Source organism: Homo sapiens, chromosome 21 (genome assembly GCF_000001405.40).
Source record: "Homo sapiens chromosome 21, GRCh38.p14 Primary Assembly".
Taxonomy (NCBI): Eukaryota; Metazoa; Chordata; class Mammalia; order Primates; family Hominidae; genus Homo; species Homo sapiens.
Genome location: NC_000021.9, coordinates 31,124,028 through 31,145,008, shown reverse-complemented (window position 1 = coordinate 31,145,008; position 20,981 = coordinate 31,124,028). Strand labels below are relative to the sequence as shown.

Below are 20,981 nucleotides of genomic sequence, written 5' to 3'. Positions count from 1 at the left end.
TCTGCCCTTGAGCAATTTGTGTTATTTTTAATCACTCAATTAGATTAAATTCTGCCCCCATGGATTTTTTCTTAATTCAATAAGAAAAATATTATATTATCTTTCAAAACTATCCCTTAAAACAGTGGGAATGACCCATATTTTTCTTTTCTTTTCTTTTTTTTTTTTTTTTTTTTTTCTGAGATGGAGTCTCACTCTGTCACCCAGGCTGGAGCGCAGTGGTGTGATCTCGGCTCACTGCAACCTCTGCCTCCCAGGTTCAAGTGATTATCCTGCCTCAGCCTCCTGAATAGCTGGGATTACAGGTGCACGCCACCATGCCCAGCTAATTTTTGTATTTTTAGTAGAGACGGGGGTCTCACCATGTTGGCCAGGCTGGTCTTGAACTCCTGACCTCAGGTGATCTGCCCGCCTTGGCTTCCCGGAGTGCTCGGATTACAGGTGTGATCCACCATGCCCAGCTGACCCATATTTTCTAATTGTCTAATGAGCCCAGAGTGTCAGGATAACTCTGAGAACAACAAAGTGCATGTTCATGTTCATCGCGGACTCACAGCTGGCCTGGAGGAGTGACGCTCCTGGACTGCGCCAAGCGCTGTGAACTGTGCAGTCTTTTGCTCTGATATGGAATTCAGTCGATGGGTGAAATACCCACAGCCATATTTTTGGACGAGAATATTTTGTTGGGGAAGAGTTCCTAGGTCCTTCTAGATGTGGCCCTAGACTTGGGATGCCCCACAAAATCCATCAGTTCCACATATGCTGGCCCCCAGCCCGGCCCAGCTCTCCTGTCACATGGGGCCAGTCGGCCACTCTTCCCAGTGTCCTTTCTCTTCAGGATTTTGTGCTTTGGAAAGACAAGAAATGATGCCAACCCAGGGAGTCTGTTCTCTTAATGGGGCTTAAAAGGGATAACAAGATTGTGGTCTTATGAGGTCTTCCCCCATGATTGCTGTGTTTTAAAATTAAAGACAGGGCTGGGTGCGGTGGCTCACACCTATAATCCCAGCCCTTTGGGAGGCCGAGGTGGGCAGATCGTTTGAGGTCAGGAGTTCGAGACCAACCTGACCAACATGGTGAAACTCCGTCTCTACTAAAAATACAAAAAAAAAAAATTAGCCAGACCTGATGGTGCATGCCTGTAGTCCCAGCTACTCGGGAGGCTGAGGCAGGACAATTGCTTGAACTCGGGAGGTAGAGGTTGCAGTGATCCACAGTGTGCCATCGCACTCTAGCCTGGGCAACAGATCGAGACTCCGTCTCAGAAAAAAAAAAAAAAGACAGAAGAATCATGTTCTGATGCCCTTTTATAGCATCTTTAGTCTTAGCTCATACCCCTAACCACTGGGGATGGAAAGACATTTTTATTAGACATTTTAAAAGTTTAATGTTTATATATTTTAAACTTTCTAATAAAATCTATAAATATCATTAAACTTTTAAATTTTTGTATTTTAAGCTTTCTAATAAAAAATATATATCATTAAACTTTTAAATTTCTATATTTTAAACTTTCTAATAAAATATACGTGTGTGTGTGTGTATATATATATATAAAAATTATATATACACTCCCACTGTTTTTTGCGGGGAGAGGGTATTTATTTATTGAAGAGATTTTTGAGTTCCTGTGACATTCCAGGTGCTGTTATGAAAAGTATCGAGTCACTGGAGTGCCATGTTAAATTTCCAGTGGGGGAAAGTCATCCAGATGAATATTCATTGGAAATGAATTTCCAATGGGGGAAAGTCATCCAGATGAATGTGAAGAATGTGCTTTTTCCAATGTTGATTGTGTTCATTTACTGGTTTATCATAAAGGATGCTGCTCAGGAATAGCCAAATGGAGAGGTGACTGGGCGAGGTATGGGGGAGGGGTGTGTGGAGTTTCCACACTGGAAACGTCCAGAGTGCCCACGCTGGACGTGCCACAGCCCCCATCACCCCCAGGTGCTCACCAGCCCAGAGGCAGCGTGTGTCCACTGTTACGTTGCTTGGATACACTGTCCCCTCCTCTTCCCATATTTTGCCCTCCCCTGACATTCCTTTGCACCTGGAAGACATTAGCCACGGCTTCGTATCATCCCCTGCCAGGTACCTCTGTTTGGGGTCCCACAACTCCCCAGGGCTGCTTCCCAAACCAGCTGGGACACTGAGGAAGGAGGCAAGGCTGGTGAGGAAAGTGCTGCCTGAGCTGCATCAGATCAGAGCCCACGGATGCCCACAGGTGGTGCCACCGAGTTAACTTTGAGTAGATCACCGTGGGAGATCCTGCCTTGCTCTGCTTCACTGGCACTGCGAGATGCTGCTGCTTCTGCATCTGCTTGCCTTTTTTTTCTTTTTCTTTTTCTTTTTTTCTTTCTTTTTTTTTTTTTTTTGAGACGGAGTCTCCCTCTGTCACTCAGGCTGGAGTGCAGTGGCACGATCTCGGCTCACTGCAACCTCCGCCTCCCAGGTTCAAGTGATTCTCCTGCCTCCACCTCCTGAGTAGCTGGGATTATGGGCGCCTGCCACCAGCCTGGCTTTTTTTTTTTTTTTTTTTTTTGTATTTTTAGTAGAGATGAGATTTTAGCAGGTTGGCCAGGCTGCTTTCAAACTCCTGACCTCAAGTGATCCGCTCGCCTCTGCCTCCCAAACTGCTAGGATTACATTCATGAGCCACTGTGCACGGCATGCTTGCCTTTTTCAAAAGAGGTTTTTCCAGCAGTGAAATGCTTGAAAGATTAGGAAAACCAGGGTAAGGAGTGTTCAGAATGTAGGTTTATCATTATTTTGGGATGACAGGGCCAACAGCTCAGGGGACGGATGATTATTAGTTTGTCACTCACAGTTCCCAAGAGGCAGGGGCACCCCATGCCATGCGGGCCAGATGAGGACATGCAGTGTCAGGAGGCAGAGGGAGCGAGGGGAAAATGTGGCCAAGAGCCTTTCTTGGGGTTTCTGAGGGAAGGAACTGGGGAGGCCGGGCTCTGTGGTGCACTCGAAGCCGAGATGTGTGCTCCCCACCCTGAGATGATTAGGACAGGGGAATGGTGGCCCAGGGTGTAAGAGCCTCAGACAGGAGGTGGCAGTGTGTGGGGACTCTATAAAAGGCACATTTCCTGGCAAGTCTTTTACTATCTCCAGGAACTGGCCAGCGTGGGCGGGGCAGTCTCCCCATGGACAGTAAGGCCCCAGGTGTCAAAACATCAGGATAAAAAAACATGTGTAATAGGAGGAGGATAAAGAGCAGCCGCTGGAAATCCGGGTGTCTGCAGTCTACACTCCGTCATCCTTTAACTCATCAGGCTTCTCCCCACCCCACCCCCAACACATAAATACATAGATCTGACTGCCTGTGGTCTCCCTGACTGCCCCCTCCCCTACCTGTCCCTCTTCCTGCCACCCACTCTCTGCTCAGTCCTGCAAAAAGGCACCTTGGAGTCACTGAGGAAGGGAGGGAAATTGTGGGAAGGGAGTCACGTGGGCGTTCCACCCCCATGACCTGTGTTTAAACCCTGCCAGCCAAGACAGACACGGCTTTCAAGGCATTCTTGGATGCCCAGAACCCGAAGCAGCAGCACTCATCCACGCTGGAGTCGTACCTCATCAAGCCCATCCAGAGGATCCTCAAGTACCCACTTCTGCTCAGGGAGCTGTTCGCCCTGACCGATGCGGAGAGCGAGGAGCACTACCACCTGGACGGTAGGCCTCGGCCTGGGACCCCCGGCAGGCCTGAGTCTCCATGAGGGTCTCTAAATAGCCTCTCATTTCACAACCTGTTTTCTTCCAGTGGCCATCAAGACCATGAACAAGGTTGCCAGTCACATCAATGAGATGCAGAAAATCCATGAAGAGTTTGGGGCTGTGTTTGACCAGCTGATTGCTGAACAGACTGGTGAGAAAAAAGAGGTGAGGGTCCCCATCTTCTCAGGACATCTGTCAGGAAAGCCGAGTTTGAGTTTGCTTTTATTTATTTATTTATTTTTTAAAAAGGTGTTACTTGTAAGTAAAATAGTTAGGATGCTGTTGTTTTTCTTAGTGGAACATCTGTGCTTTATCCAAGGCTGCAATGTGAATTTTCTTCCTCAGCTGGACTATTTCTTCCTGTAGGAAATGTTTTCCTGATGTTCAGCTCCTCACCCTGGGGATCTCTGGCTTTATTCTGTGTTAAGTGTGAAAGTGAACTTCCATTACCACAATCTGGGCTGTTTCTAGAAATGTCATGAAAGTCCAAGGCTCTACCTCCAGAGATTAGAATGACACCAGGCACATAGTGGGTGCCCAAAAAATAGTTGTCAAAGGAATGAAAATTTCAAATGACTCTGAATCAGTTAAATCTACCCAAAAACCTACTTAGAAGAGCAGTGGCAGGAACAGATACACCTGAGAAAGACTTAAGGTGAGCTAAAAGTTGTGCCTGAGTCATTAACATGCACTTACCTGAATAAAAGTATGTTGCCAACACAGAGGAGTGGTAGATGTTTGAGATGATGGATAAGTTAATTGCTCTGATCTGATGGGTTATACAGTACATATATCAAAGCATTACTGTGTACCCCTGAATACATACAATTATTATTTTTCAATTACAAAATGCCAATAATACTTAGAGGAATCATAGGGATATGATATATAGTAACATTCGTCAATGCCTCTGTATGCTCAAATTCAACTAGAGATTAGACTCAGTTTTTCTTTCCACCTTAAAAAAGAGAAAATGTGGGAAGGAACCTAGAGGAAAAACACTCTTGCTGTGACTAGCAGCAGGGTTAAAAGCAGTGTGGGTGGGGCAAAGTTTGGTTGTTTAGTGTAGGCTAGAGAAAGCACCTTATCTCCAGAGATACTAAAGGCCATTATCCAGGCTCATTTTTTTGTCCTTAATGAAACAAAACAAGTTTTCAGGCTGTTAAAGGATAATTTTCTGAAAGAGGTAAAATTATGACCTCTCATAATTTATTTTACTCATAAGATGTGAAGGACCCAGGCAGGTGTTGTAAAGGTTCATTGGAAAAATCACAATCACAGAAGTTTACATATGGAGTGAAGAAATGTTGAGGTGAATTGTAAATGAGACAAACTGGTTTTTCCACAGCTGGAGGAAATCAGCTAGGCCAGTATCAGACTGGACAGAATTTACACATCTGTCTGTTACCTACACTTTACAAAGAATCGCACAGGCTCTCAAAGACAGTGTACAGTCAGGATCTGATAGCCCAGGAAGGTCTGCTGTAGAGGATATGTAGTTTTCAACTGCAACACAATTTTGTTTTTACATAACATTACAAGCAGAGCATGAGAATGTTCTGAGACTACTTGGCAGGTAATTTAATCTATCAGAGTATAGAAAAGATGAAGGTTGCCACCCTGGACTTAGCTCTCACTTTCTTATAAAACTTTATAAGAAGAAAAAAATTATGCTTATTAAAGAAGAGGGCAAAATACAGAAAAAGGCAAGAAGAAAACTATGGTTTCAAGACATAGAACTTACCATATTTTGGTGTTGATTTTGATTGTTTTAAATTAATATCTATGTATATGTTTAGTTATATCTTGAAGGTAATTTTATACCTTGATTTTATGTTGATCACAGAATTTTAATGCTTTTTGTTATTGACTAATATGAATAATACTGTAAACTTTTTTTTATTATAAGAAGTCCTCCCATCCTTTGGTTTATTTCATTCTGACAGAAGTGCATTTTACTGGGCCATGGAAATGAACATTTTCATTACGTCATATTACATTTTCTTTATATGCCAAATTAATTATTAGATTGTAATGACCTTAGGAGCAAATGACCATGATGCTAAAGATTAGAAGGCGAAATGGATATTGGGTTGCAAAGAATTTAGGAAAAAAAGATGAATATGATCAGAAGTCAGAGACTGTAAAAGGGAATATGGCTTCAGTGAACCTGGAAGTCCTTTAAAATGAAATTCTGATATGTAAGAAATCTTTCCAGTGAGGAACAAAGTGATATAGTGCTATACAAAGTATTTTTTGTGGGCTGAGATTGTAAAAAGAAATGTGCAAAAGATGGAAGGAGGGACACTGGCTGAGTACCAGGACTGAAGAGGAGGAAAATCCTACTTTTACCAGGAGGTGCAAAGCCCAGAAAATTTCTGGCTTGGAAAAGATGCCAAAGAGAGCAAGAGAAGATATTGTTGTGGAAGGATAAGACAAACGAGCAGGAAATAGACCCCCAGTGGGAATCAATTACTCCAAGGCAGTTGGTTTTACTCAAGTCTTAAGCCCCATTTCATCTCTTTTTCTTCCATTGAGGAGAATGGCCTTTAAACTGGAAAGGATGCAGCAGCCTCAATGCCGTAAGAACAAAACCCTAGGGAGAATGAGTCTTGGGAAATAGGATGGTCTGTGCCAAGATCAATGACAATTCTGTTCCACTGCTCTCAGCAGTATATTGGAAGAATTACGGAGACTCAGGCGGGTGATTGTGGAGGTACCCAAATTATATTCAGATTTTCACAAAAGTAATTCCTGATCCTTGTGGTTCCCTCTTAGTGGCAATGTGAAGTAACAGCCTAGAATGGATTGATGAAGTTTGTAAAGAGGAATAGGAACATTTATCAGTATCTGCTGGTAACAGCAGGTTTATTGTAAAATGGTAACATTCTAGGAACACAAGGTACCTGAATTGGGTCTTCAACCAACATTCCTTAAGATATCTCTGAAGGCAAATAGGTTCACAGAGAACAAAGCTGGCAAAGAAACAGCTTTTTGATGAAACTGGGCCTTCAACCTCCTACCCCCATGTTAAACTCTGGGGAGTTAGGCTAAGAAATCCCTTTTGCTTAACTAGGAGGAAGAAGAATGCAAGAGGGCATTTCCCCTTAAAAGAAGTCCTTAAAAATGCTGACTCAGTCGGGCATCCCAGTCCTTAGTAAGGTGGAGGCCTCCCAGCAGAACTCTTTCTTGGGGTTTGGGAGGAGGATTCAGAAGGGAACCAGTGGAAGCCCCAGAGAGAGGCTGTGGCCAGAGGGAGCACCCTGACCCCCTAGTCCACTTGCCCTGGGAAGCTTGTCCAGAGAAAAACCCTGTGCACAGGAACAGCATCAGCCCATTTTCAGTTGTGTAACAAATAACTGGAAATCTCAGTGGTTCTCTACAACAGATATTTATCTCGTATGTGGCTTTGTAGGTCAACCAAGGTTTGGTTTCTCTTGGTTAGCTCCAGTTCTGAAGGTTCTGGTGTGCTCCTTGTCTCTTCCTTCCAGGATCCAGGCTGAAGCAGCAATGGCTGTCTTGGGCAAGTCCTTCCCATGGCTGGAAGGTGGGCTCTAAGTCACATGCCTACACCCAAAGTCATCCGGGCGGCGATGTGTGTACCCTGCCTAGTCTAGTGGGAGGTGCTGGAAAATCACATGGCAGAAGGTGCAGATAATGTAATTCTGTTGGAAGAAGTAGAGTTTGGACAGTCTACCATGTTGGCCTTTAATCACTTTTAAAGACGTACTCCCAGGGGCTGTGGCCTCTGGGAATTTGTCTTTTGTATGTAACTCCTCCTCTTCTATGTGGGTCTTCGGGGGATAGGTAGTGGAGACTATGTCATTACCTTGGCTGATCATATCCTGGGGGTTTGGTTGATGAGTTACTTAATATCTATAGACAAAATAATATGGCTGCTTAAAAATTATTTTAACCCTTGATTGTACTAATGGTACTATAGCTTAGTAATAATGACAGTGATGATTATAATAATTTCAATCAAGGGAGGCAACAATACCTCTGTATCCTGTACTGCTGGAGCCACATCTCAGCACGGTAGCCTGTTTTGGTGGCTCGAGAAGGGCAATCCAAACTGCACTGTGTTCAGTGGCGGGTCGCCAGGTTGCTGCTGTATAGGAAACCCAGCTAGATTTGGAAGGAGGCCAGTGACTGCAGTGAGAAAAGCAGACGGGACTGTTGTGAGGCATAGACGTTGAACTTGCATCAGACTCTCTGGATCATCGTGTCTAGATGGCTCTGCAACCAGCACTTGTCTGTCGGAGACAGTTTAGCGTGTGACCGCTGGGGGTGAGCGACTAAACCTCATGGTCTCTTGGGATTCCAGCATTCACGCTGCCTGTGCCAATAGAGGAATCTTCAAACTCTTTATTGGCTTCTCTCTCCCTCATCTAAAGTGAAATAAAGTCGTCTTTGAAATGGATTGGAAGAAGAAATAATTTGCCTACATTTCCCAAAAGTGGATATTCACTGGTGGAAATGTCTGCAGTTATCTGGGGGTGGATCTTTGTCATGGACGGCCATTAGCATCTCCTTGGGAAACTGTCTCTGAACACAAAACATCTCCAGTTTTGTAGATCAGTTTTGACAGACTAACTGCATGTGAATTTCAGAGCCCCAGTTTGTACCTATTTGCCATCCTTTTCTGAAATTCTAGTAGACAAGCATGGAATAAATGGGGAAAAAAAAGATGAGCCTTTTCTCTCCCCTGTATTCCATGTGTTTCTTTGGGAATGGAGAGGATTTATTTTTCAATTAGGAGATTTCATATGAATTAAAGGATTTTTTTTTTCGTTAAAATTTCATTGTATTGTTCCTAGCTCAAACTTGGCTAGAACATAATGATACTATTATTTCCCATTGGAAAGGTTAACTGGATATTGTATCTTCAGCCTGTTTTGATGGGAGGTGGTGTTTATTGAGACAGTCACAAATCGAAAATATTTTTAAAAAATGTAGTCTGTCATTTTGGTGCGATTTCTTTTCTCAAAAACATGAAATTGACAAGTAAAAATTTTATATATTTATGGTGTACAACATGATGTTTTGATATGTTACATTGTGGAATGGCTAAATCCAGCAGTTTAACTTAGCATTATCTCACATATTTAAGCAAATGTTTTTAGGAGCAGTATTTTCTTGAAGTAAAATTAATATCAGCATGCTGAATTTTCAAACATCATGAAAATCTGAGTATTGATAACACCACCCAGTAAGCTTTGTCACGTCTCTGGCTTTCAGGTTGCAGATCTGAGCATGGGAGACCTGCTTTTGCACACTACCGTGATCTGGCTGAACCCGCCGGCCTCGCTGGGCAAGTGGAAAAAGGAACCAGAGTTGGCAGCATTCGGTGTGTATCAGAAAAGCGTTTTATGGAGGGGGAAAAGTCTAGCTTAGTTTTCAAAACAAGAACATTTCTTTTTCAAGACCCAATTGATTAAAAATAAAGTTAATTGCAGTTACTTGAATCGGTCTTCCTGCCGTAGCCACCAACATCTCACAAACACTAAATGAAACCTTCGAGTTAAATTGCCCTATGTGGTCACTCAGCCACATGGGTGGGCGGAAATGGCTGTGCCCAAGTCTATCCCAGACATAAACACAGAGGCAGGAAAAGAATTTTTTTTTTTTTGGCTGCTGCTCTGCGTGTCTTTTCAAAATAATGGGTTAATTATAAACCAAGGAAAAATAAAGTGAAAAATCAAGACAAAATGGCCTCTGTTTCTGAGACCCCCCAGTCCTAGATCTTTTATTTGCTTCCTGACTTTGTTGCTGTTTGGTCTTAAGGCCAGGATTTAGGATGCTGGTTCTCAGCTGAGCTGTTGTGGCAACTCTGGAGTGCCTGGATCAGCTGTGAGGTGCATCCCAATCGCATTGCCACTCAATACTAGTGAAATTAGAGATGTTTGCGAATGACTTATTTTTTAATAAACCAGTTTAGATGGATGCAGTTGCTGCAATTAGAGATCTCATGTGATTGTATTGTAATATGCTTTTTGAGAGAGAGAAAAAACATGGGTTAGCATATAATTTAGGAAACATAGCTTGTTGTTGCAATGTAAATGCTTATTGGCATATTGCTGTGTTGTTCATGAATATAAAACTATCAACACTCCATGCTTTTGTTTTAGGTTGCGTTTTGTCCTAGCCTCTTGCTAAAAGACTCATGGGTAGGAACATAATATAATGGAAATCTGCCTTATTCTCTTGCCTTATATTATTTTTGTGGGCTTGCTGGGAACGGAGGTTGCTTTCTCCTTCTTAACTAAACTTTTTTTTTTCCTCCATGATGTGAACAAAGTATCCCCAAATGGAATGTCCTAGTGATTTTAAAATCAAAGTATTTAATGCAAAGATCCATTGGACTTTGTATTTCAATGACTTAGCCTTCATTGAAAAGTTACTAATATTCCCAAAATTTCCAAAGAGCCCCTGTAGCTGTTGAGGTCATTTCATTAAAAATAACAAAGGAGGCCAGGTGTGGTGGCTCACACCTGTAATCCCAGCACTTTGGGAGGCCAAGGTGGACGGATCACTTGAGGTCAGGAGTTCAAGACTAGCCTGGCTAATATGGTGAAACCCCGTCCTTACTAAAAATACAAAAATTAGCTGGATGTGGTGGCAGGTGCCTGTAATCCCAGCTACTTGGGAGGCTAAGGCAGGAGAATCGCTTGAACCCTGGAGGCAGAGGTTGTAGTGAGCTGAGATCGTTCCACTGGACTCCAGCCTGGGTGACAGAGCAAGACTCTGTCTCAAAAAAACAAAACAAAACAAATGTAAGTGCAGAGAAAGCATGTGACTAAATAGGCCATTCAAAGGAATATTGGGGGTATTTTAACAAGTTGTTAGTTTTTGATGGGGTAGGTGTTTTGGGGGAGGGGGGAAGTAGTATTTGCTTTCTTTTCAACATCACCACTTGTGTTTCTTCTATAGTGATTTCTTCTTGGAGGAGTCTGGGATCTCCTGGATGCTGCTTAATGGGTCATTCATGGGATGCAGGATATTGATGTAAATGACCCACACAGTGATGTGGGACTACAGACTAGCAGTCATAGAGGTCAACATTTAGATTTTTCATGGCTTTGCCCTCAGTTTTACAGATTCACTGTAGTTAGAAATCAAGAGATTTAGAATAAGAAAATAATTTAAGTAGGAGAAAATGGGTTGGCAAACTCTTTTCTGTTTCGTTTTGTTTTGTTTTTTTGGTTTTTCTGGGGGGATGGAGTCTCGCTGTGTTGCCAGGCTGGAGTGCAATGGTGCGTTCTCGGCTCACTGCAACCTCTGCCTCCCAGGTTCAAGCGATTGTCCTGTCTCAGTCTCCCGAGTAGCTGGGACTACAGGCACGCACCACCACGCCCAGCTAATTTTTGTGTTTTTAGTAGAGATGGAGTTTCACCATGTTGGCCAAGATGGTCTCAATCTCTTGACCTTGTAATCTGCCCGCCTCGGCCTCCCAAAGTGCTGGGATTACAGGTATGAGCCACCGCGCCCGACCCTCTTTTCTGTTAAAGGCTACATAGTACATTTTAGGCTTTGGGCCAAGAGGCCACATGCTTTGCCACTGGAGCCAGAAGCAGCCCTAGATAACATGTAAATGAATGAGATGGCTGGATCAGCAGCTGCACCACACAGGTGGCAGCAGGCCTGGGTCTGGCCTGAGGGCCCTTGTTTGCCAACCCATGGTGTAAGTGATTCAGGAAAATGCTGGTTTTGAGGTTGGGGATTTAGGTACCACTTTCTGCACAGGCTCCGATAGTGGACTCTACATTACTCTGTTCCCTGCCTCCTGGGCTGTTTATGAGAAGTCGGTGTGGGTGCTGTCTCCAGGAAGGCGGGCCCACAGCACCTGTCCCTGGTGTAAATGGAGACTGCATACTCCAGCTTCATGGGCATCACACTGTCAGCAAACTCAATAGGGGCTGTAGTTCATAAGAGAAAAACTGAAGGCTCTGAGGTACAAGACGTGTTTATCATTATTCAGAATCCTCTCCAGAGTAATAGGAAAGAGAAGGGGAAGGATTAAAATTGGGATTATGAACAAAGGCTGTAGTCATGATGAGCTTCTGTGGATTCCCAGCCGTTAAAGAGACAAGTTTGATGGTTTGGGTGTGATTTCAAGTAGCAAGGCAGAACTAGCAGAAAGGCTGAGCAAGGAGTTGAAATAAGGAAGAGGTGCTGTGAAGGAAGGATCATGGTTACCCTCAGTCGGCAGATTTGGGGTTAAAATGTGGTTGTCTTGTTTTGGTTTAAACCTCTAACCTCAGGAAATAGTGCAGCTTTCTTCTGAAACCGAAGTTGACTTGCTGCCAACGAAGCGCCTTGATGTTTCACAGGATGGCTCATGTGTACCAAATGTTGGTGATTGTTGCCTTAAACAGAAACAAACAAAAATAGAAATAGCCTTCTGCCTTGAAGGGTATTTGACATTCACGTTTTGGGGCACAGAGTGGATGCTTTAGGCTGGCAAAGGTAGCATGAGTTTTGGAGATCATCAAGGCCATGTCTGAAGGGATCGGGCAACACTGTGGAGTCACTTGAGTAACACTAGCTCCGAGGATTAGGGAAAGTTTAAGGGAGAGGCTGAGGTCCCGGTGCCAGGCTGAAGCTCACTTTCTGGCCCTCCTGCTGTGATCCACAATGGTTAAGATTGAGGGAAATCGAGGGAATCATAGCATTGAGCTGTGGTCCCAGTGGCATGGTGGCGCTTCTGAGATTAGAGTCATTGGGGTAGAGCTCTTTCATTTCTAAGAGGACCTAGCTGTCCCAGCCTCTCTGATTTCTGAAGGCTTCATAGTGGGAATAAAAGGCCTTCTCAGGTTGCTTGTGCTCAGCTGCTGTGAAGAGCTGGTGTGGCCTCCTCGGGTCAGTGTGAACCTTTGTGGGGAACCTGCCAGTCTGTGCTCTGGGAACCTTGAGGGGTCAGATGCTGTGAGGTGTGAAGGGCTATGGGCAGTCTAGACCGAGTGGCTGGAGTCAGTTTCTTTGCATCTCAGCGCTTATTTCCCTGCAGTGGAGATTAGCATGATCTTACACAAAGAGGAGACAAGACCGACCTGCCCTCCGTAGGATAGAAATTGAACCAGATACTTCCAGTTGGCCTCCAAAGGGCCTGTGAGCCTGGTGGCCCATCCCTGAGAATTCTCTGAATGTTTGTTCCTTTTGTAATTCTGTGTCTGGTGTACAAGGCTGTGCCTCCTTCAGCCGCTGTGTGACTGGGCTATTCCTTGGGGTCAGTATGAAGGGATAATGGAGACTATCTTAGTCCATTTGGGCTGCTATAACAAAATACCATAAAGTGGCCAGCTTCCAAACAACAGAGATTTATTTCTCACAGTTGTGGAGGCTGGAAGTCCAAGATCCTGCTTTCTCCTACTTCCTAGCTGTGGCTTCATATGGCGAAAGGGTCAAGGCATCTCTCTCAAGTCTCTTATAAGGACACTCATCCCATTCATGAGGACAGAGTCCTCAGGGCCTGATCACTTCTCAAAGGCCCACCTCCTGAAACCATCACAAGGGTGATTAGTTTCAAGGTATGAATTTTGGGGAAACACAAACATTTGGACCATAGCAGAGACGCTGACACAGAGAACAAAGGACAGGCAGGAGTCAGTCACCCTTCTATTCCTTCTGGGTGCCAACTCTACTTACCCTTCTAGGAAGAATCAGAATCACTGCAGGTTAAATGTGCTTGGCATTGCTTAACAAATTCTCTGGAAGATTATGCATAACTCCATTGTATCTCCCCACCCCCGAAAGAATATAAGAATGAAACTACATGTTTACCACTCCTAGAGAGCTTACCTGATTCAGTCATTCTGGAAGACATACAGTTGAATTCTATTTCATAAACTCATTTTTGTTTCTTTAGGTCAAAAGATGAGTTATATTTCCTAAATTATCACTGTCTATGTGCACTATTACCTTAATTTGCATAAATGTAAATCATCTTCAGCAATTGCATTGTTATTGTGAAAGACGTTTATATTATTCCTCCATCTACTGAATTAGTACATTTTTGTTGAATATGTATCAGCTGAAGTTTTAACCTTGAAATTGTATCATACCTAACATATTTTACGCAAAAGTTTTTTGGGCCATAGGTTAATTCCATTTATGTAGGCTTTCTATGTTTATTTTGAACCTGGAAACTTGTGTCTCAATAGGCTTTTGATTTTCACAGATGTGATGAATGAATGGAAGGTGGGTGGGAGTCAGTTAACTGGGATCTCAACGTCCTCTTCATAACTGTAGTGTTTATTACCACAAGTTGGTGATGTCAAGGGGAAAACCCTACACATGACATACCATAACTGTCTTTATTTTATTTTTTCCAGTCTTCAAAACTGCTGTGGTCCTTGTGTATAAAGATGGTTCCAAACAGAAGAAGAAACTTGTAAGACATCTTATGTTACCCCATGGTTTGAAACTATTTCTCTATCTGCTTATCAGTTATGCCTGCATAATTCTACCATTTTGTCAGTATGAGCCTTTTTATGATCTTTTTTCTTTCTTAAGCATTGCTAAGGATGCTTGAGATCACTCATCCTGCCATCTTTTCAGGCAGGCTTATGTTTAGAGCACAAACATGAATTGGTCTCATTTTTGTGAATTGGAACCAACTGGACTCAATTGGTGATTGGGTCTGCCATGGCCCAGAACCTTCCTAACGCTACTTTTCCCCTTCTCTGTTGCCCCTGTTCTTCTTTTGGGATCCTTTTTCTCCTCTTCTCTGTGTGTCTCTCTTCACTGCATTTGCTTAGCAAACTTCTTTGCACACCCTCCCCTCAACGTATTTATCACGCAGCCTCTCACTTCCTGCTGGATGGACAGGAGCTCATGGGGGTGAAGATCCTTTGGGCACGCCTAGAGTTACTGCGTGAGAGTCTGTCGCTGGTTTAGAAAATGCAGGGAACTGGTCCGGGGCAGGTTAGATTCTTCTTATGCAGCTGGTTCCTTCTCCTCTGCAGGTAGGATCTCACAGGCTTTCCATTTATGAGGACTGGGACCCCTTCAGATTTCGACACATGATCCCCACGGAAGCGCTGCAGGTTCGAGCTTTGGCGAGTGCAGGTAAACTCTCACCTGTGCTGGGTATTTCACACACATATTTCTGATGTGTGTAGGAATTATTTGTTTGAATCCACACTCTTGGTCTAACTCTTCTACCGTCTTTTTTTTTTTTTTTTCCCTATGCTTAACTCTCTTGTCTCTCGGTCTCTCTATTGCCTCTTATTTACCCAGCCATTGATTAAATATTGAATGAATGAATGAATGAACCAAGTGAATGAATGAACTGAGTGAATGGATGTGTAATGTCTTCAAAATTCCTGGAAAAGATTCTAGTTATTCTATTCTATAGATTAATACTATAGTGACTACCACCTGAGTACAGTGAGCCTGTGCTTCTTGAAAGAATCCTTGAGACTGAGCAAACAAAGCCCACATAAACTACTCACTTGCCTTTCAACTGAGAGATCCAAAAATACCACCAAAAGCACTAAAAAGCATTGACTACACATGTTTTTTCCCTAAAGTATTACAAATCTTTATCTTTGCTGTTAGTGTGAAGGCTTTTAAAATGTTGATTCTTTTTTACATTGATTTTAATTTTTTTAAAGATGGGGTCTCATTCCATTGCTCAGGCTGGAGAGCAGTGGTGCTATCATAGCTCACTGTAGCCTCAAATTTCTAGGCTCAAGCTATCTTTTCCAAGTACCTGGGACTACAGGCATGTGCCAGCACAACCAGCTAATTTTTTAAATATTTTGTAGAAATAGGGTTTTGCTATTTTGCCCAGGCTAGGCTTGAACTCCTGGGCTCAAGCAAGCCTCCCGCCTTGGCCTCCCAAAGTGTTGGGATTACAGACGTGAGCTGCCATGCCCAACCTGAAATGTTGATTCTTTTTCTGTGATCCACATAGCAGTGAAGTGAGTTGTTGGGTAGCTATAAGTATACTTCATAATATAATTAGACGATGCTTGAAACACATGAGTAGCAGGGGTACTGACTAAGAAAAGTGATATTTCTGTGACCCAGAAGCTCCCCATCCTGGGCCTAATTTGAAGCCAAGTTCTCAAGAGGAGGAATGGACTGTGTGGCTCTCCCAGGCACATCCTGGAATGAGCATCTCTGGAGAGTCAAATGGAAACTCTTTAGCCACATCTGTTCCCTGTCCCACTTGGACAGCAGGTGCAGCTTTGGTAAAGAAAAGCCTTGGTGGTAGAGACCTGCAGGTGCATGATCAAGAGAATTTCTATTTTATGCTTTTGGCATCTACAAGTTCCTACTATCCAATTTCTGTTTTTTAGCCTCCTTGTTTCCACTTGTCATAAGCAGTAAAACTGGATCTGATCCTCAGAAAACCAACCCACCCTAGTCCAACGTCATGAGGAGAACCCTCTTGCCATATTTTGCACACTTTGAGTTACTCTTCCAAATTAAATGAGGCATCTCTTCCTTCACAGTTTTTCTGCCTTACAGTAGGAAAACTCAAATGCAAAAACCATGTAGGGCAAATATATTTGGAATGATTATTTGTTTTAGAAGGTTTCTCTCTAAGCTTCCAGTAGAGATTTGCCGGATGCCCTTTTACTTATGATGTGATTTGCAAAATTGATTTATATATGAATTTGCAGGCACCTGTAAGTTGTGAGTCTAGGGCAGCAATACATAGCATTTTGAGGTTTGAGCACTTAAATACTAAAGTCTTACTTAGAATCGTAGGTTATGAATTATCTAGTTCCTTTGTTTCCTCATGCCAGGTTTACAAATGGGAAAGTTTATTTCTGTAGCAAACTGACAGCTTCTAAGCCAGGAATTTCGCCTGCGTTGAGGAGTAAACACATAAAAACTTCAAATTTTGAAGACAAAGCCATCTTTGTAATACGACATTCCATTCTCACTCTCTATTTTTCATTCAAGTCAAGTTTAAAACCATCAAGATAAAAGCTTATTTTAGTTGAGTTATAAAGGCTAGTCAAGATGTCTTTCATTATGAAATCCACTCTAGTGGATTTGAGAATCACAACGTGGAATTTCTAGGTTTTTATTTTAGTTTGGAAAGTTTGTACAATTTTTTGCAGATAGATTCTGGTTAGGGTTAAATCATGCAACCACAGTGAGGGTTTGTGACCAGGGTTCTGAACCACTGGATAAAAGTGAGACTTCACAATGTATGGCCTGAATGTCTGCAGTGAATTGTTCCTTTCACAAACACTTTATTCATGACTTAAAGTACTGTGCTATTATAGGCACTACAGAGCTTCAAAATTATTTTAAAATTGTCCCTTACCTTCTTGATATACCATTTTCTGCTGTGTTCAAAGCAGACTCCAGGGGTAGGCTGGGGACGAGAAACCCAATTAGGTCTCCAGGGCTTTAGGCCCAGCCACCTGGGGGAAGCCTCCCTTAACAGACAGCAAAGGCTTACCTGTCGTATCCCTGGCCGGATGAAATCTGCATAGGAGGCTTTGGCTCCACTGAGTCCAACTGTTGCCAAAACAATTAATCATTTAATTGAAATGCACAGTTCAGTTAACCAGACTGCATGGCTGGAAGAGTGAGTTCAGGCCGGGCGCGGTGGCTCACGCTTGTAATCCCAGCACTTTGGGAGGCCGAGGCGGGTGGATCATGAGATCAGGAGTTCGAGACCAGCCTAACCAACATGGTGAAACCCTGTCTCTACCAAAAATACAAAAATTAGCCGGGCGTGGGGTGCACATCTGTAATCCCTGCTACTCAGGAAGCTGAGGCAGGAGAATCACTTGAACCCGGGAGGCAGAGGTTGCAGTGAGCTGAGATCACACCACCGCACTCCGGCCTGGATGACAGAATGAGACTCCATCTCAAAAAAGAAAAAAAAAAAAAAAAAGTTCGGTCCATATGATTGACCTTTTAGACCATCTAGAAGATTTTACCAACTGGAAATTTTCCAAGTGTTCTCTTCTTTGCATCCATTAAGCTTTCAGTCGCTTCATCTCTTTAGATTGTGAAATAGTAGGAAAATATCTTTGATCTTATACAGTGTTCTGCATTATTAATCCTCTATCACAGCTGAAAAATGCTTTTGCAAACATGTAAATAAATCCACTTGAAACATACCCTGATTCATTGTTGTTTTAATTTCTTTAGATGCAGAGGCAAATGCCGTGTGTGAAATTGTCCATGTAAAATCCGAGTCTGAAGGGAGGCCGGAGAGGGTCTTTCACTTGTGCTGCAGGTGAGCCTGGGCCTGTAAAGTCGAGGCCGTGTTGACATTTCTGCAGATTGGAACGGTTTGGTGTCTTACGTTGTGTTCTGGTGTTTGGTACGTTGTTTGTACTGTAACATCACTGAGATGCAGTAAATGGAGAGTCAGCTGGGAGGAGCTGACAGCTTGTGAAGGTGTTATCGGGATTCCTGATCATTTGGAGCACATATGGAGGTCAGCCTGTGTTGATCACCTGCACGTCTTGAGGGGAAGCTGGGCTCATGATGTGGGCTTCTACTTATTTCTTGTTGTTTTTCTTCTACCCTGCCACCCTCTTTTGCCCTTCCTTGTATTCTCTCCCTCCGCCATGAGAATTTGAGGTCTTCTCCCATATGAAACCTATTCTTTTATTTTTCTAAAAATACAAGATAGATGACTCCAACAGATGGCGTTTAATATATTTGGCTTTAAATGTGCCCGTATTGAATCATGCTTTTATTTATATATATATTTATTTATTTATTTATTGAAACAGAGCCTTGCTCTGTCGCCCAGGCTGGAGTGCAGTGGCATGATCTCGGCTCACTGCAACCTCTGCCTCCTGGGTTCATGCCATTCTGCTGCCTCAGCCTCCCGAGTGGCTGGGACTACAGGCATGTGCCACCATGCCCAGCTAATTTTTTGTATTTTTATAGAGACGGGGTTTCACCATGTTAGCCAGGATGGTCTCGATCTCCTGACATCGTGGTCTGCCTGCCTCGGCCTGCCACAGTGCTTGGATTACAGGCGTGAGCACCACGTCTGGCTAACTTTAATTTAATCGTAGATACTCAGTGATTTACTCAGTAATTACCCAGTACCTCACACAGTGAGTACTAATATACTATGGATTACCTACAAAAGACAATAGAATCAATATTATGATTATTAGCAATATTTTATAATGTTAGTATGGTAAGAAGGTACCTTTACCAAGCATGAACTATGCTAAACACCTTACATTCATTATTTCATTTAGTCAGACCAAGGTATTAGGTTGGTACAAAAAGAAACTGCAGTTTTTACCATTAAAAGTAATTAAAAGTGCCATTACTTTTAATGGCAAAAACTGCAATTATTTTTTGCACCAACCTAATACAATTCTTACTCCAGTTTACAAATGGGGAAGCAAGGCTTAGAGATGGTACTTAGCCTAAGGCCTTATAGAGAATGAACACTGGTGCTGGGCATGGTGGCTCATGCCTGTAATCCCAGCACTTTGGGAGGCCAAGGCAGGCGGATCACTTGAGGTCAGGAGTTCGAGGCCAGCCTGGCCAACATGGCAAAGCCCCGTCTCCACTAAAAATACAAAAGTTAGCCATGCCTGGTGGCAGGTGCCTTTAATCCCAGCTAGTTGGGAGGCTGAGGCAGGACAATCACTTGAACCTGGGAGGTGGAGGTTGCAATGAGCCAAGATCATACCACTGCACTCCAGCCTGGGCGACAGAGCGAGACTCTGTGTCAAAAAAAGAAAGAAAAAGAAAATAAATGGTGGGTTTAACCTCAAAACCCATGTTTTGTGTTGCTACATCAGATCTCTCTGTGTTGGGTGACAGAGGTCAACAAAAGGCAGATCCCCGGGAAGCTGTCAGGACTATAAGTGAAATGTTGTTTGTATAACCTCGTGGGGTTTGAGCACCACCTTTACCGTCTATTTTGGCTCATCTGTTTGTGATTTTGTTGGTAAGGTCCATGGGGTTTAGTAGCCCTGCCTACACGGATGCCGTATTTATTGTTAATAGGGAATACCAGGTAAAACTTACCTGGGTAAAAATATTGGGAATATAATAAGAAAAATAACTCTTCCTAGGAAGCACTTTTTTTTTTTTTTTTTAACCATGAGAATTAGGACTTGGGAAGATTTTATAGTTCTTTACAGCCTTAATATATACATGTTGAAATGTGTCATGGGAACCATTGATATTTACCAGGAGGGAGCTCAGCTCTAGAGGACATTAGGACGTTGAGACGTCGGCCTTTGGGTGCTCTGCAGAGCCGCAAGAATCTTGTGGTTCATTTGCCCTCAAAAACATTTTATAATGAAAAACTCTGCCTTGAGTGCCAGGAGCAGAATTTGGCAGCTTCTTGGTACAAACTCCCACTGTCCATAGATCTGTTCGTTAATGGGCTACTCTGCCCCACATCAGCGCCAGGAGATAGATCACAAAGCATGAAGGGAAAGGAGTTATGTGCTCTTTATCACTGGCGTGAAATCACCGCTCAGCATAGAAATTGGAGTCAAGGCCTCAGTCTTTAGCCTTTGGCCCTAAGGGATATTTATTTGGTTGCACCTGATAACCTTAGAAGTTCCCCATGTGTTAAGCCCTGATTCTCTAACATCTGTAAATCTTCTTTTCCTAGCTCCCCAGAGAGCCGAAAGGATTTCCTAAAGGCTGTGCATTCAATCCTGCGTGATAAGCACAGAAGACAGCTCCTCAAAACCGAGAGCCTTCCCTCATCCCAGCAATATGTCCCTTTTGGAGGCAAAAGATTGTGTGCACTGAAGGGGGCCAGGCCGGCCATGAGCAGGGCAGGTACTGTGGGGATTCGGACGTTCAAGATTCCCGTCACCCCCACTCCGCAGTAGAACTCCAGTGAGCTTGACCTCCTTGTTGAGTGGGGGTGAGGTGTGGCCTGGTGGGGGCTGATGTAGGAGGACGGTTTTTCCCTGGTGTGAGGTTCCTTGCCCTTGCCTCCTTCCCAGTGGCTCCTGGGGATCCGCCCTGTATCTACATTCCTCTTGTCCTCCCTCAAGCCTTCCCTTTGCCTCCCTTCTCCTTTTGGCTGGTGAGCTCCTCCCTCATTTGCCAAGTCGGGTTGCAGACACATCCTCTTTCTGGAGAGGCTGTCTCAGCCTGCTTGCAGAATGAGAGTCGCTGCTTTGCATGACAGCCAGCTTTGTCTAGCAGAAAGCCGTGTGTCACATTTCAGCAAGGTCACAGCCCTCTGTTCTGAGAACATGGTGGCTTCACGGCCTGGCAGCACAGCAATGCCTGCTCTCAGTAGTAAGGATTCTAGGTTTGGTAGC

At 43.5% G+C, this 20,981-nt stretch overlaps 1 protein-coding gene across 14 annotated transcripts in view, besides 2 other annotated features; it reads left to right on the top strand.

Annotated features, from left to right (window-relative positions):
• The window catches only part of TIAM1 (TIAM Rac1 associated GEF 1), a 440,670-nt gene that overhangs the window by 414,079 nt on the left and 5,610 nt on the right, over positions 1–20,981 (top strand). For 13 of the 14 annotated variants that reach the window (NM_001353690.1, NM_003253.3, NM_001353688.1 and 10 more), the window contains 7 exons: positions 3,505–3,684; positions 3,773–3,891; positions 8,968–9,076; positions 14,061–14,119; positions 14,694–14,796; positions 17,857–17,944; positions 20,315–20,487. In NM_001353690.1, the coding sequence (NP_001340619.1) occupies positions 3,505–3,684; positions 3,773–3,891; positions 8,968–9,076; positions 14,061–14,119; positions 14,694–14,796; positions 17,857–17,944; positions 20,315–20,487 (831 nt within the window). Of the gene's footprint in view, positions 1–3,504; positions 3,685–3,772; positions 3,892–8,967; positions 9,077–14,060; positions 14,120–14,693; positions 14,797–17,856; positions 17,945–20,314; positions 20,548–20,981 lie in introns of all 14 variants that reach the window. The other variant, XM_005261040.3, reaches the window with a different exon arrangement.
• Positions 7,893–7,942: an enhancer, noted in NCBI's record as "active region_18353". NCBI's record gives its function as "activates an Ori minimal core promoter by ATAC-STARR-seq in GM12878 lymphoblastoid cells {active_cell/tissue: GM12878}" and the evidence as "EXISTENCE:reporter gene assay evidence [ECO:0000049][PMID:35858748]".
• Positions 11,866–11,915: an enhancer, noted in NCBI's record as "active region_18352". NCBI's record gives its function as "activates an Ori minimal core promoter by ATAC-STARR-seq in GM12878 lymphoblastoid cells {active_cell/tissue: GM12878}" and the evidence as "EXISTENCE:reporter gene assay evidence [ECO:0000049][PMID:35858748]".